The sequence below is a fragment of the Homo sapiens genome, chromosome 1 (assembly GCF_000001405.40).
Source record: "Homo sapiens chromosome 1, GRCh38.p14 Primary Assembly".
NCBI lineage: Eukaryota > Metazoa > Chordata > Mammalia > Primates > Hominidae > Homo > Homo sapiens.
In genome coordinates, this window is record NC_000001.11 from 30,692,330 (window position 1) to 30,707,690 (window position 15,361).

Below are 15,361 nucleotides of genomic sequence, written 5' to 3' on the forward strand. Positions count from 1 at the left end.
GCGCCATCATTGTGCCTGAGCCCTCGCACAAGCCTGGGGGATGTGGACTACCACCCCTCTGACAGGAGGACACTGAGGTCTGAGTGGTGAGGAAACTGGTCCAGCCCCCGCAGCCAGGGAGGGCAGAGCTATTCAGTCACCACGGGGACAGAGAAGCCATCACTGCCCTCCAGGCCCCCAGTCCAGTGAGGAACAGATGATGGCAGCACCGTGGGATCTGATGAGGGAGACACAGAGGGTGTGGGAGCTACAGGGTCCCCTAGCCCATCCTGGGGGATCAGGGAGCTCCCCAAGGAGGTGCTGCCTACACTGGGACCTGGAAGATAGCAGGGGTTAATTCTACCTGGAGGAGGAGAATGGGAGGAGGATGTGGAAGGGAGAGGAGGAAGAGGAAGAAGAGAAGAAGAGAGGGAGGAGGAGGGAGAGGAGGAAGAGGAAGCAAGGAGGAAGAGGGGAGGAGGAAGAAGAGAGGAGGAAGAAAAAGAGGAAGAGAAGAGAGGAAGGAGAAAGAGAAAGAAGAGGAGGAGAAAAGAAGGAGGAAGAAGAGAAGAGTAAGGAAGAGGAAGAGGAGGAGACAAGGAGGAGGAAGTGGGGAGAAAGAGAAAAAAGGTGGGGGAGAACAGGATGCAGTGGAGAGAACAACAAGTTTCCTTGGTGGTATCAATGGAGGTTTGCTCAATGAATGCATCTGCCAGTCGACTCCCACCCCGGCCTCCGCTCCTCCCAGCCCCCTGCCCAGGTGCCCTTCCTAGCCCGTTTGTGAGTTCAGTGTCGTCTCCACAGCCTGCCTCTTCAGGGGTGACTTGGGCTTCCCCAGAATGCCATCATATCTCTCTCCCCACTGTCTGCTTGGAATGTTGGCTCCTCCAGTGAGATGTGCATTCCCGGGGCCCAGGAACAGCCCTCATGGGACCCACCTCCAAGTGAGCAGCCTGTGCTTCACAGGAAAAGACCCAACGTTGAGCTGAACTAACTGTGGACCTAGCCCAGGCTTGGATCAGTGGCAAGTCCTACCACCAATGTCTGCAGTCTCAGCTCCCCCTGATGTACAAGTCCCCTTGTCCCTCCTGTATGGGGTCAGGGGAAAAGCAGGGACTTTGGGGTCAACCAGACCTGGGTTCAAATTCCCCTCCTGCCACTTAACGAGCTGAGTGGCCTGGGACAAGTCAGTCATCCTCAGGAACTCAGACTCCCCTCCGGGACAGTGGGAGTGGCCATGTCCATGTCAGGGGACAGCACATGGGTTGATGGGGCAGCCCTGGCGCACAGTAGGTGCTCAGTAAACCTCAGCACCCACCAGTCCTGACAAAGCCCATCAAATGCTATAACTTGCATACAATGCAGACAGAACCAAGAATCAAAGAAGCTTCTGCATGAACCCTTGATCAGAGCAGCCTCCAGTCCCCAGCCCCACTCATCAGAGGCTCCAGCCAGGCCTGGAGCCCACCTCAGACCTACTTCTCCTAACATAATTTGTATGTTTTTTGTGAGGGTTATTCCACCCACTACATAGAATAAATCTTTCAGGATGTTTAAATTCCAAGCTTTCTTGTAATTCCCCCAATATGTGAAGAGAGATTGTTGTGTTTCAGCAAAGGTCACACATAAAACGTACCGTACTGGATGGGAAAGGAGGCGAGGGCTGGATTAAGGAGCAATTGCCATCATTCATTAGGGGAAATCACAACACCTCCTTTCAAGGAGCACTTGCTCTGCCAGGGCTGCGAAGCCCAGATGACTGCACTCTCCTCCCCGCCACCTCAGAAATACATAATTTAGGAGCTCTAAGCTGCACTGCTTCTTACAGCAAGGGTGTGAGGCATGTTTCCTGAGTGCTGCTTCCTCAGGCCCATGAGAGCCCTGCAGGGCAGGAGGATCATTACCCACCCCCCACCCACCCCCGCCCCGCAATGATGGAGACAGGTAGAGTGAGAGGTGCAGGGACTCGCCCACGACCACACACAGCAGGAAGGGGTGGGCTGGGCTTTGAACCCAGGTGTCTCTGGCTCTAAGGCCCCTTCTCCTTGTCCCCCACTCTCCTGCTCCCTGAGAACACAGTAGGATTACAGCAGGAAAGGTGAGCAGAGAAATTAGCCCAATCCAGGCAGATACTCCCCCAGGCTTTGGATTCAACCCGCTCCTCTGCTCATTTGCATGTATTTACATGCCAAGGCTCCAGAGGCCTCAAGTATAGGCAATAAAATCAATTAATTATTGCAGCCGACCAGTGGGCACTTAGCTGCAGGATGCCCTCAGATCACTGTAACACACAGAATGGATTTTGGACAAGATCTGTGTCATTGCCTCTTGGGTCAACAGAGCCAGCCCTGAACCGGGCCCAGTCTCTACCACCAGCCTTTCTTGGTCAGAAGTGAGATGCTCAAGGAAAAAGGATGACTTAATTTTCTGGAATAAAGAGTCTCTGCTATTTTGTGTTCTTACACCATAATACCCCTCTATAAAACCAGGGCCTCTGCTCTCTGCAAATGCAGCCAAGGCAGAGCCTTCTCCTACCCAGAGCCACCTGGATGCTCAGATAAGTCCTACCCCAAGCCCGGGGTGAAAGGACACCCCAGGCAGAGTGAGGGAAGGTGATATAGCCCAGGTCACACAGACACGACTGAGTGGTGGCAGGCTTCCCTCTGATGAGCAGCTCCGGTCACCTCCGGGGTCCACCCATTAGTGCCCAGTCCCTGAGAGACCTGGGAGGAGGGGGTGGTGGGGCAGAGATCTGGGGCTCCTGGACCATGAGACCCAAATGCTATAATGCCCTAGATCCTACAATTCCAGTACCTTTAAGTGACATGGGAGGAATCACATGTTTTCTACCAGCCATGTTCAGAGCCCTTTCTGGGGCCTGGTCTGTCTGCCCACAGGCTGGAAAAAGGCTGAACAGTGGGGTTGATCATGCCCAGATGTGTGTGTGAATTAATGCATTGACAAATGCAGGAACAAATGAACTGATGCCTGAATGAATGTAGTAACGAATGGTGTGAATGGGTAAGAGCAAGAATGAACAAATGCACTGAACAAATGACAGTGCGAACTACTGGATGGAAGGAAACAAGTCTGCCTAAGTGAACAAGGCTAGATCATACCAGATATATGCCCATCACATTGCTTTATCAGAGAGGAAACGGGCACAGAGAAATTAGGAACTTGCCCGAGGTCACATGGCTAGTATGAGATCTAGCTGAGATTCCAACCAGGCAGTCTGGCCCCAGGTCCCACACTTCCAGCTCTGCCGTGGGCTGGTGCCAGGGCCAAGGCTCACACAAGACTGAGCCTACCCACCCCACCCCCACCCACCCCCAGAGGACATTCAAAACAAACTAATAAAATCCAGCTCGTACAGTCCGAATGGTGCTCAGTTTCATCATCAAATCATTCCATCTTGTTGTTGGCTGGGATTTTGCTGGAAGCAGATCTTGCTTTTTCCGATGATTTTTCCAGTGGTTTCTAGCTTGCTCAACCTTCTGCATCTGTAGGGGCTGGAGGGGTACCATGCAGGCTGGGCGGGCTGCAGATGGCTTGCTCTAGGCAGGGCACCAAAAGGAGGGAATAAATGTCATTGTCAGAGGATGTCATGGCACACACCTTCCATAGCCCCTTAGCCCTCAAAAGTTATTGTTTTGGCCAGAGCAAGAGTTTAATCTTGCCTTGGTATCAACATTACTTGTTATACACTTGGCTCTTTAAGGTGAATGGGGGATGGCAAGGGGTGAGGCCAGCAAGAGAGGGTGGGAATTCACAGGAGGACAGATTTAGGCTCAGCATTCACAGCTACATCTGCTCAAAAGTGAGACAAGTTGCCCTGACAGGTAATGAGCACCCCGTCCCTAGAAGTGTTTAAGTTATTACAAAACAGTGAAGAGAGAGCTTCCCACATTACAGGAGGGAGTTGGACTAAGGTTATCTTGTGATTCCGAGATTTCTATTTCAACTCTAAGTTTCTCTGAATGATTCCATGTTCAAAGACTCTTGTAGAGATTCCTAAATTCTAAGATTCCGTGGGCCTGTGAGTCCATGAAGGCATCTGTGATCCTGTAATTCCAGGATTCTGTATAAAGACAAGATGCTTAGACCTGGCAATTCAAACATTATACAAAAAAGCATCTCTGAGTGTACGAAAGATGTTCTAATTCCAAGATTCTGTGCAGCTCAGATGCTATGAATGGTACTGACGTATCTGAAAATGCCCCAACTCTGACAGAAGTGAAGGTTGGAAGATCCAGTATCTTTAGAAGGTGATTATTTGACTGTTTATCTCCAGGAACTTCAGCATTAAGAGTGGGATCCCTGGAAGTTCTTGATTCTATTCTCCCCTCTCTTCCTCACCTGGATCAGAGAAAGAAACTAGGGCCTTGAGGGCCTGAGGGAGGGGTGTCCTGGAAGAGAAGGAGGAGAGGAGGGAGAGAGGAAGGGAGGTTGGGTTTTGAGCCCCCACTCCCCACCAGATCTTATAATGGGCACTCCACACACTCTGGTCTCTCCCAGCAAGGACTCAGAGCCCTCAGGGTTCAAGGAAACATCCAAGAAGTCCTCACCTCCACCTGAGCCTGGTCCACCTGCCAGCAAAGATGGGCCCTCTGGGAAGGCCTTGGTCCTTGACACTACTCTACAAACTGCTTTTTGGATTCTCCCACACACCCTCCCCAAAGCCCTCCCCCATCCTGGAGAAAGAGGGCTAGGATACCTCTTGGCTTCTCTCCTCCATCCTCCCGGGGCCCCAAACCCAGGGTGGTGAGTAAGGGCCGCATCGCTGCTGCCACTGGGATCTTCTCAATGGGGTTGTCACCTGTGATGGTAACGTCATTCCAGAGACTCCTGCATCCGACTCCACATGTCGAGTGGGTTAAATGGGTCTTGAAGCCCCAGGTAACAAAGCTTGTTAGAAAAAACTCTAGGTAGATGTGGTCTCAGCTGAACACACTTCAGGGTTTTTCCTCTGGTATTCATTATGAGCATGGTAGGGGCGCAGCCTTTGCAAAGTGGAATTTTTCTAGTGTTTTTCATTCAGGATAAACAGCTTAGGGAGCGAGAAGCAGTAGCCCCCTGTCATTTCGTGTCTGTTTATTCTTCTGATGGACTCATGCTTCCCTGCTGTGGAGGTCTTCTCCCGTATTTCCCCATTTAATTGGTTGTATTCTCAGTGGGCTCTGAGCAGCAGCTGTCCTGCCAGAGTCATCTCAGGTTTCTCTAAAAAGGGATTTGATTTCGGACAGGAGAGAAATGGGAGAATAGGCAGGGAGGGGCTGGAATTCTGGAGGAGGCCGGATCTGCACCGAGTTCCCCAGGTCATCTCAAGACAGCCTCCTCCCCAACCCCCACCCTAACCTCAGCAGCTCCTGAGCAAGCAGGCTGGGGTCCCAGGGCCACCTGCCACCGAGAGGAAACCAGAGCCCAGAGCCAGGCAAATTTGGCCGTGGGGACTCCCATCTCGGTGACTCAGGGACCTCCCCTGAAACAGTCCCCATCTAGCCTGGCCTGAGCCCCTGTGAGCTGTCAAGGGAGGCTCTGACCGGGGAAGGTGGGGCAGAGGCTTCAACAGGCTGTACAGATCCAGCTCTCAGCTCGGATAGTTCCAGACTTTCCAGTCTGTGGGCTTATGGGTCTGACAGGTCTGTGCACTGGCTCTCCCTGGACTCAAAGGGCCTCTGCTCCCACCCACTGCCTGTTTAATGTCTGTCGTGCCTCAGGGACCTCAGCTATCTTGTTCATTGCTAAATAGCCAGGACTAGCCCAGAGCTCCTACTATCTCCAGTGTAGTGCTACTTAAGAAGAAGCCACAACCAGCCCCAAGCTGGAGTCTCTGGCAGTCTGGTGGGAGCTGTTCGGGACAGGGGCTCTTCTCAGAGAGCTGGGTTTCACTGCCAGATCCAGGCATTGAGTGACACCTTCAGGAAACCAGGTGGGACTGAGCCAGCAACAGTATGACTCACTATGGGAGGATTGAAGAAGGGACCTCCTGAGGCCTGAGCCACAAACAGACCTTCCAGGCCACAACTGAGCCCAGAGACAGCTGGTTCACAGCCACCAGGGGCTCACTTGGCCCGGGGAAAGAGGCAGCCAGGGGTCCCAGGGGCCTACCCCTCGAGTACAAGCACACCCTCCTCCTATACCCAGCAGCGCCCCCCACCATAACACACTCAGCCCCACTCACCCACCCAGCCCAGCAAGCCTGCCAGGAGAGTGGAGGCAACTCCTGGGCTGCGCTTCCCAGCCTGGAGGACAGGAACGGGGGTGACTGGCAGATTAACTCCTCCACAGCCCTAGGTGCAGAGGCCTAGGTGTGGGAGGAGAGGGGGAGTCTCTCGGGACCAGGCAGAGGGCACCTATCAATCCGCTACCTACGGCCCCGGGGCCTGGCCAGCCAGACGTCTCTCCAAGTCGCTTCCCCGGCTGTCGCTGGCCAGACTTGAAAGGAGGGAAGCCCCTCACCCACCCTGGCCCAAGGCGGGACAGGACTTCGGCTCAAGGCCCAGAGAGCAGCCCATGGCCTCAGTGTGGAGAGATGCCTTGTGCGGCCAGGGTCTCAGGGGACAGATGAGAACATGCAGCCTCATCACGCTCTGGCCTGTTTTCCACTTCCCTGCCCTGAGCCAAGGTAGATGCTATAGTAACCGCACAGATGCAGTGACACAGGCAGCTCTCGACACAGCCGAGGGGGCATCTCAGACCCCAGAGCCTGCAGGGCCCCAGGGGGACTCAGAGAAAGAAACTAGGGCCTTGAGGGCCTGAGGGAGGGGTGTCCTGGAAGAGAAGGAGGAGAGGAGGGAGAGAGGAAGGGAGGTTGGGTTTTGAGCCCCCACTCCCCACCAGATCTTATAATGGGCACTCCACACACTCTGTCTTATGTAATCCTCACAACAGTCCTAGGAACTTCTGTTAATGTCCCCATTTTTCAGATGAGAAAACTGAGTGCCTGAGGTGACATGGCATGCCCACGTCTCTAGCTGTTCAGTGGTAAAGCCAGGATTCCCACCCAGGCCTATCCAACTCCAAAGCACATGACTTTCCTTGTGCCTCAATCAACAAAGACATGAAATAACCAACCATTACAGGCTCCATCCGGCACAGAGTACAGGGCTCAGGGCCATGGGCATACATTGCAGGAAGAACTCTGGACTGAAAGTGGAGAAACTGAGGCTTAAAACATGGTGTTGCACTTCCTAGATGCATGGCCTTGGGCATCTCTCAGCCTCAATTTCTTATCTGTACAATGGGAGGGATGACCCCATCTGTGGGGTGGTGTGAGGGTTAAAATGAGACCTGTGTGATGGCATACAGTGGGCCAGCAACAAACGTGAGCTGAGGTAGAATCGAGGCTGTGCTGGGCTCTGAGCTCTCTGCTGTGACCCTTTCCTCACCTGGGGATTTCCTGACTCCTGACTCCTGGCTGTTTTGTGCATCCAGCCATCCATCCTTCCATCCCTCTATCCATCCCTCCATCTATCCCTTCATCCATCCATCCATCTATCCATTTATCCTTCCATCCATCCCTCTATCCATCCCTTCATTGATCCATCCATCCATCTATCCATCCATCCCTCCATCCACCTATCCATCCGTCCCTCCATCCACATATCCATCCATCCTTCTATCTATCCATCCATCCCTCCATCTATCCATCCATTCCTCTATCCATCCCTTCATCCATCCATCCATCCATCCATCCATCCATCTATCCATCCATCCCTTCATCCACATATACATCCATCCATCTATCCATCCATCCATCCTCCTATCCATCCATCCCTCCACCACCTATCCATCCATCCCTCCATCCACCTATCCATCCATCCCTCCATGCACATATCTATCCATCCATCCATCCATTCCTTTATTTATCCATGCATCCATCCTCTTGTTGATTTCTTCAGCGCTAACCTAGAACTACTCAGCCCTGGAGGGGGACACCAGGACCAACAAGACACTGCCGCTGACATCCAAAGGCCCTTTCAGCCTAGTGAGTGCATCAACAGGGGTTCAGGCCTGAACAGAGATCTGAGGAACTTGGTGGTCCCTCCATCCGTCACCCACTCTTCTGCCCTTCTGGTGGAGTCCTAGGGGAAACACAGGGAGGGCACCAACCTGAAGAGGAAGTCAGGAAGGGCTGCAAGAGAGAGTGGCTAAGTTCATCTCCAGCCTCAACAGAGCAGGAAGGGCATTCCAGGCACAGCATGTATAAAGGAACAGAGGTGCAGAAGAACCTGGCTGATCTGAGGAAGGGCAGGCAGCTCAGCACAGCTGGACCCAGGCGCAGCATGTAGGTAGCAGGCAGGGGGTGGAGACAGCAGGGAGAGGACACAGCCTGAAAGGAAGCAGGGTCAGGCTGGGAAGCCTTGAGTTCCAGGCCAAAGAGGTTAAACTTGATCCAACAGAAAATTAGGAGCCACAGACAGTTCTTGAGCTGGGGCATGACAGGATAGAATTCACATATTTGAAAGCACTCTCTGGCAGCAGTGAGCAGGAAGAGTTTCAGGGGAAACAGGAGCGAGGGGGCCAGCTGGGAAGCCGGTGTACCTCCTAGGCCCAGCACTTTAGGGCGGTCTTCTCAGGGCAGGTTTCCTGGCACCCCTCCACTTGCACCTACAGGGACACTCACAGAGTTCAATAGCTCAGACTCAAGCATCAGGTGGGAGCCTGGCTGGGCGATGGCCTAGGGTCAGTCCAGCTGGAGCTCAGCCCATGACCCAACACAAAAGTGCACACTGCACATCCCCCACAATGGCCCAAGGGATTCCTGGAGTCACTCCTGGGCTGCCATCAGCCTCATCACCAGGACACGTGCTCTGCCTCCCACTTGGCCGGTCCCCAAGGAGATGATTCAGCCTCTCTCCTCCTCCCTAGGTTTCCCTCCCCATCTCCTGTCTCTCTTAGCTGGTGACATGGCTTCCTGGTGCCCAGAGAAAATCCAAGCCTCAAAATAAGAACTTACTAGATTTCCTGACAACAAATATCCAAACTCCTGGCACTCACAAGGCCCTCCCCTTCCTCCTCCTGAAGATGGAGACTGTCCCCTCCTGCTGTCTGGGATCCCAGCCTGCTCTGACCGGCCCCGCCTACCCACTGCCTGGATCTCTCCAGGGTGGTGGGGACATGTTTAATCTCTTTACCTGTCTATACTCATCCCTGTCTCTATGCCCCATCTCTTCAGCACTGAATCATATTCAAGTCTGTCATCCCACAACAAACCTGAACCTGATGTCTCCCCTGAGCTGTCACCCTCTCACTCTCTCACTTTCCCTTCACTGCCCAACTTCCTGAACCAGCCATCCTTCCTGGTTGATCTCCACACACACTCTGCCCACCTCAGTCCCCATGCTGTCCCCAAGATGCTGCCCTTGTAAGGCCACATTTACCTGCTGGAAGGACCAGGCAGTGGGCACCCTCGGCCCATGCTTAGCCCCTGGGCAACACTCAGCCTGTGCCTGCTTCTCCTCCTCCTCTCTCCTCTTGGTCCCTGGGACCCCGTCCTCATTTTCCTCTTATCCCCCGGCCACTCCTCGGGCTCCCTTGCTGGTCCCTCTTGCTGTTCCTGAAGTGTAGGGGTCCTGGGGCTCTGTTCCAGGCCCTCTCCCCTGACCCTCCTCTCAACTTCTTCTCCTGGGGGCTCATCACTCCCTGCAACTTCAGTCATCTACATATTTGCCAATGACCCCAAACCTTCACCTGCAGCTCAGGACCTGCTTCTCCTGCCCCCTGGACACCCACGGGGCATGCACTGATGCAGCCACATCTAGCATCTCACCCAACCCCAAACCTGCTTCTCTATATGAGGAAGTGAGGGTCCCCCAGGCAGCCCAAGTCAGAAACCTGGGAGCCCCCCTCCACTTTCCCATCACTCATCACTGAGGCTAAGACTGAAACCCCCAAATATCTCCAAACTGCCCATTTCTCCCAGCCCCGCAGTCACTATCCTAGTCAGAGCCCCATGTCCTCCAGCCTGCATTGCAGCCTCTATGTCCTGACTGACTCCTTCCCCTGTCTCAGTCCTATCCTCACCTACATGGTGGTCAGAGGGACTTTCAGACCCAAATCTGCTCATATGCCTCCCCACTCATACCCTACATGCAACTGTCACACTTAGGATGTCAACTCCCCACTCCACCCCGACTCTACCCTAATCCAAGCAGCCGTATTATCTTCAGGCCCATCTCACCACCCATTGGCACTTCCCAGATAAGACTAAGCCTCCACTTAGACAGCCCCCTGACACCCCCTTCACTTGGGGCATCTTAGCCAGTACCGGCAAGACCAGGAAGAGTTCCCTTCACCCATGAAGTCCTCCTGGTCTTGCAGGTTCTGGCTCAGATGCCCCTTCCTCCAGGTAGGTTTCCCTGATTTTTGCCAGAGGCTCCCACAGCAGCCTGTGCTCCCCTCCACAGCCATCCTTACACCTCACGATGACATGTGCTAAACACCAGTTTCTCTGCTCAGCTAAAGCACCATGCTGGCAAAAACTGGGTCTCTTGTCCAGCTCCATCATAGCAGCACATAGTAGATGTTCAGCTGCCATTTAGTGGATGCATGGATGGATGGATGGATGGATGGATGGATGGATGGATGGATGGATGGATGGATAAATGGGTGGATGGATGGATGGATAGATGGATGGATGGATGGATGGATGGATGGATGATGGATGATGTATAGATGGATGGAAGATAGATAGATGGATAGTGGATGGATGGATAGATGATTAATAAATGGATGGATGGATGATGAATAGATGGATGGATGAACTGATGGTGGATGATGGATGGTGGATAGATGGGTGGATGATGAATGATGGATAGATGGATAGATGATGGATGATGGATGGATGAATTGATGGAAGGATAATGGATGATAAATGGATATGGATGGGTGGGTGGATGAATGTGACTTACCAAATGTTCTGTTAATATTTGTTGATTTAAATTCACATTTCAGTGCTACTAAGCTCCCATGTTGTGAGTGGACATGTTGGACAGCTTCAGGGTATCTAAGAACCTCATAAGTAATGATGATTAGCATAGGTAAGATGAAATTTTGGCTTAATTTCAGACTACATATCTGACAATCAGAGCGGGGTCAGACCCCCCGAGATTACACCAAACCTGTCCCCACCGGACCAACAGAAATTTCCCCCATGGAGGACAAAATCTCAGAGGATAAAGCCCTACTACATTCCAGGGACTTGACCTGCCTCTCTTTGGTGTTCCTCACAGTCACCCCCATGAAGTCAGCCTTGTGGTGTCAACCTACAATCAAGGACATGGTGGCTCCAAGAAGCTGTGTCACCACTGGGTGACACACCAAAGCCTGCCTGGCCCGGGGCTATGAAGTTCGAGGAGGAGTTCCCTAGTGGGGATGGCCCTCATGGAGCTCTGTTGAGGATTGGGGTGGCAAGAACTTGGCCCCTTCCCCTCTAAAAGCCATCAGTCACCTCACCCAGAATAAAGTCCCTGAATAACAGTGGTGCCAAAGCCGATAATAATCATAATGATAACACCAACCTCTGCTTCCCTGGCTGGGCTGACCCTGTGCCAAGCTCCTGCCAGCACGCCACCCTCCTCATCTCATCAACCGTCGCCACAACCCTGTGAGCTGTTACTGCTCACCCCATATCACAGATGAGGAAACTGAGGCTCACAGAGATGCAGCGACCTGCCCAAGGCCCCTCAGCCCCAGGCAGAGCCAGGCTGGCCCTGGGTGTCTGACTCTGGGCCTCAGAGGCCTCCTCCACGTCCCTCACACTTGAGCAGCTTCTCTGACACGTTCATGCTTTTTGCTGTCCCCTCCCCCTGCACAATGTTGACTCAATCATCCCTTTAATCTGACTTGAAATAGGCCGTTTTCCATTTGTCTCACCCTGAGCAACAAAATCCATGAAATCAAGGCTTCAATGCGCTAATTTCTTATGGGTTTTTTCCTGATACTATTAAAATACATACATGACTGGGAAACTATGAAATATCAAATGTTTGTGCACCCACAACCCATGGTCACCTCATATCCCAGTGAGTACACCCCACTCCCTGGGTGGCTCTGACTGCTGTTGGAGAGGCAGCAGGACCGGGGAGGAGGCAGCATCCCAAGTGGACGTGGCCTGTCCTCTCCCAGCCCAGCCCAGCCCAACCCAGGCCAGCCCAGGACAGGGCCGGTTCTTCTCCCTCCTGGAAAGGCCCCACCCACGCCTGCTGCTCCCAGGCTGGGCCTGGGCAAAGGAAACTCTGGCAGCTGGAGGTGGCTCAGCTGACCATAGGCCCTGTGAGGGAAGATCCATTGCTGGGGGGATGGAGGGCATCTCCTCCTCCTCTCTCCTCTTGGTCCCTGGGACCCCATCCTCATTTTCTTCTTATTCCCCTGGCCACTCCTCGGGCTCCCTTGCTGGTCCCTCTGGCTGTCCCTGAAGTGTAGGGGTCCTGGGGCTCTGTTCCAGGCCCTCTCCCCTGACCTTCCTCTCAACTCCTCCCCCCGGGGGCTCATCGCTCACTGCAGCTTCAGTCATCTACATATTTGCCAATGACCCCAAACCTTCACCTGCAGCTCAGGACCTGCTTCTCCTGCCCCCTGGACACCATGGGGCATCCACCGATGCCTGGAAAGGCCCCACCCAAGCCTGCTGCTCCCAGGCTGGGCCTGGGCAAAGGAAACTCTGTGGCAGCTGGAGGGGGCTCCGTTGACCATGAGCCCTGTGAGGGAAGGCCCATTGCGGGGGGACGGAGGGCTGTGATGGACCCAAGGGCCCCTGAGAATGGGATGCACGTTGGGGTGCTCATCACATGCACTCCCCAATACTCCTAACTCCTGGAAAAAGCCCCAGGCATGGGACAGAATTCTTGCTTTGCACCACTCACAGGAGAGTGGCTGAAAGACACTTGCAGTACTCAGGAGAAGGAATTCTGCCAGGAACGAAGTCAGGAGACTGCAAGGGAAAATCTGATGCCAAGAAGAGGGGAAAATCCTTCTCGAACTGTGGCGACCTGCCCAAGCAGAAGCTGCACCAGCCGTGGGAGGAGGAAGATGGCAGGCAGACAGGCCTCCAGGCGGGAGTGGAGGCTGCCGGGCTGGGCAAGGGGTCTGTTCCAGCCTGTTCTGCAGCTGGGACTTGGCCACACTGCAGCAGGTTCACAGATGAAGCCCGCAGGAGCAAGACCCCAACCCATGAACCAGAGGTGCCCCAAAGAGCACCTGGGGCAACAAAGGGATTTCCCCATGGAGGAAGGAAGACCCAGGGGCCATGTGGGGTGGACAAGCCTGGGTCCCAGTGCCAAGGCCGACCTGCTGCTGCAGGTTCCTCTGTCTTCTTAGCCTTGCTTTCCCCCACTGTGAACCTGGGGTAGTCCTGAAACCAGACCAATTGTCTGTTAGAACTGACGTTTTTGGTTTCTTTTGAATAGACATAGAATTGACCCTCCCAGTCTTAAAACTTGAGAATGTTACAATTGTCTTATCTAAGTTCCATTCTCAGCAAACCAACCATCAGAGCCCCAGATAGTATCAAGGAGCTGAAATGCATGGATCACTGCATCAGGACAATGAGATGCCAGACTCCTCACCCATCATGATGGCCTCACTGACCACCTGCTTCCTGTTGACCAGTTTTTCTTCCTTACGCCTCCCTAATTCTTATTCTCCTGGATGTAGGTACATTTCTTCCCTGCTATTGAAACCCCCGATTTTAGTTGGTCGGAGACAGATTTGAGACTAATCTCCCATCTCCCATCTCCTTGGCTACAGAACCCAATTAAAGCCTTCTTCCCCAACAGTACTTGTTGTCTCAGTGATTGACTTTCTGTGCAGTGAGCGGCAGGACCTAGCCTGCAGGTGTTTCAGTTACAGTCTTACCTCCCAAAAGAAGTGTGAGGAATAAAGGAAGTTAGCCTTTTCTTGGAACAATGCTTGGCTCATCATAAGCACCAATATATGTTGGCTGTTTATAAATTTATATTTACTAATTACTAGTTAGGAAATATAATACATGCCACAAGTACACTATTATAAAATAACACATCTTTTTTTTTTTTTTTTGAGATGGAGTCTCTCTCTGTCACCCAGGCTGGAGTGCACTGGCGTGATCTTGGCTCACTGCAAACTCTACCTCCCAGGTTCAAGTGATTCTCCTGCCAATTTATTTATTCTATAATATACAAGTATTATACATAAGTATATATACTTGAGTAGTATCTACTGTGTAGATACTACACTGTAAGTCACCACTTATAAATTATTTACTATTACTACCACGGAAGGGCTGTGGGAAGCAAGGAGAGCAAGTTCATGCTTTCCCTCATTCACTCACTATGTATCTTTATCAAGCCTCCAGGGAGCAAAGCTGCCTCAATCTGAGGAGAGGCTGAGTGCGACTCAGCGAACACTGGCTGGCAGAGTTCCCACAGCGGGTGCTGGAGTGTCAGCTCAGTCCACGTGGACAAAACGCCTTCTGAGTGCCTGACACAGCCAGCGGTGTCATCAGTGGAACAGAGCTCAGAGAGGGTCAGGGACTTCCCGAGGTCACTCAGGGCCTGAGTTTGGAGCCACATGTCACACCCCGGTCTGGGCACAGTTCCCTGGAGACTCCTTAAATCAGGGTGCCTGGGACTCTGCATTTGAAAGCCTCCTCAGGACAGCAGTCTGCACTGGGGAAACACAGAGAGAACTCCAGTTTCCGAGAAGAATCGGTGAGGGGAACTTCAACCTCCCCAGAGTCTCTGAAAATCAGGCACCCAGCATGGAGCTAGGAGCTCGGCCCAGCCCCATGGATGGCCTGGCTTGCTGGCCACACAGTGATAATCAGGCCCCATGCCCTGTGCTGAATAAGCCCCTCTGCTCCCTTAGTGCCCCCACCCCACCCCAGCTGCTCTCCCATCCCTGGTCTGGGCGCTGGCACATGCCCCCCACCACCCACCTTCACATCACTCTCTAGACACTCCCTGGACCATCCCCCTGACTCCGCCTTACAGCAGACTCTCCATCACCCTTATGGGACAGGGCAGGTGCTTGCACCTCACGTGGAAGGGGAAGGACAGAGAGAAGCCACGTGAGATACCGCACACCCTGGAGGGGCAAAGGGAAGGGAGACGCTTTGACCTGGTGTAGGTTTTCCATGAGGGAGGAAAGACAGCTCGGAATTTGGAGGAGAGGCTGCCTCCTCCTTGAAGCCCTGGTGTGAACTTGTGATCTGAGCCTCCAGCCTGGGCCCAGACCCTTCGCTGCTGTCGCCACAAGGGTGCACCTTCGTCTCAACAGCTAGGGCGCCCGGCCCATGCTCTGTGCTTTGCACACATCCCCTCAGTTCACAGTCTCCCCCAGTGAAAGGGGAATCATTCTCCCCATCTCCCAGGGGAGCAAACTGAGCCCCAGAGCTGTA

General features: G+C 53.2%; 1 annotated feature.

Annotated features, from left to right (window-relative positions):
• Positions 5,257–5,366: an enhancer, noted in NCBI's record as "active region_614". NCBI's record gives its function as "activates an Ori minimal core promoter by ATAC-STARR-seq in GM12878 lymphoblastoid cells {active_cell/tissue: GM12878}" and the evidence as "EXISTENCE:reporter gene assay evidence [ECO:0000049][PMID:35858748]".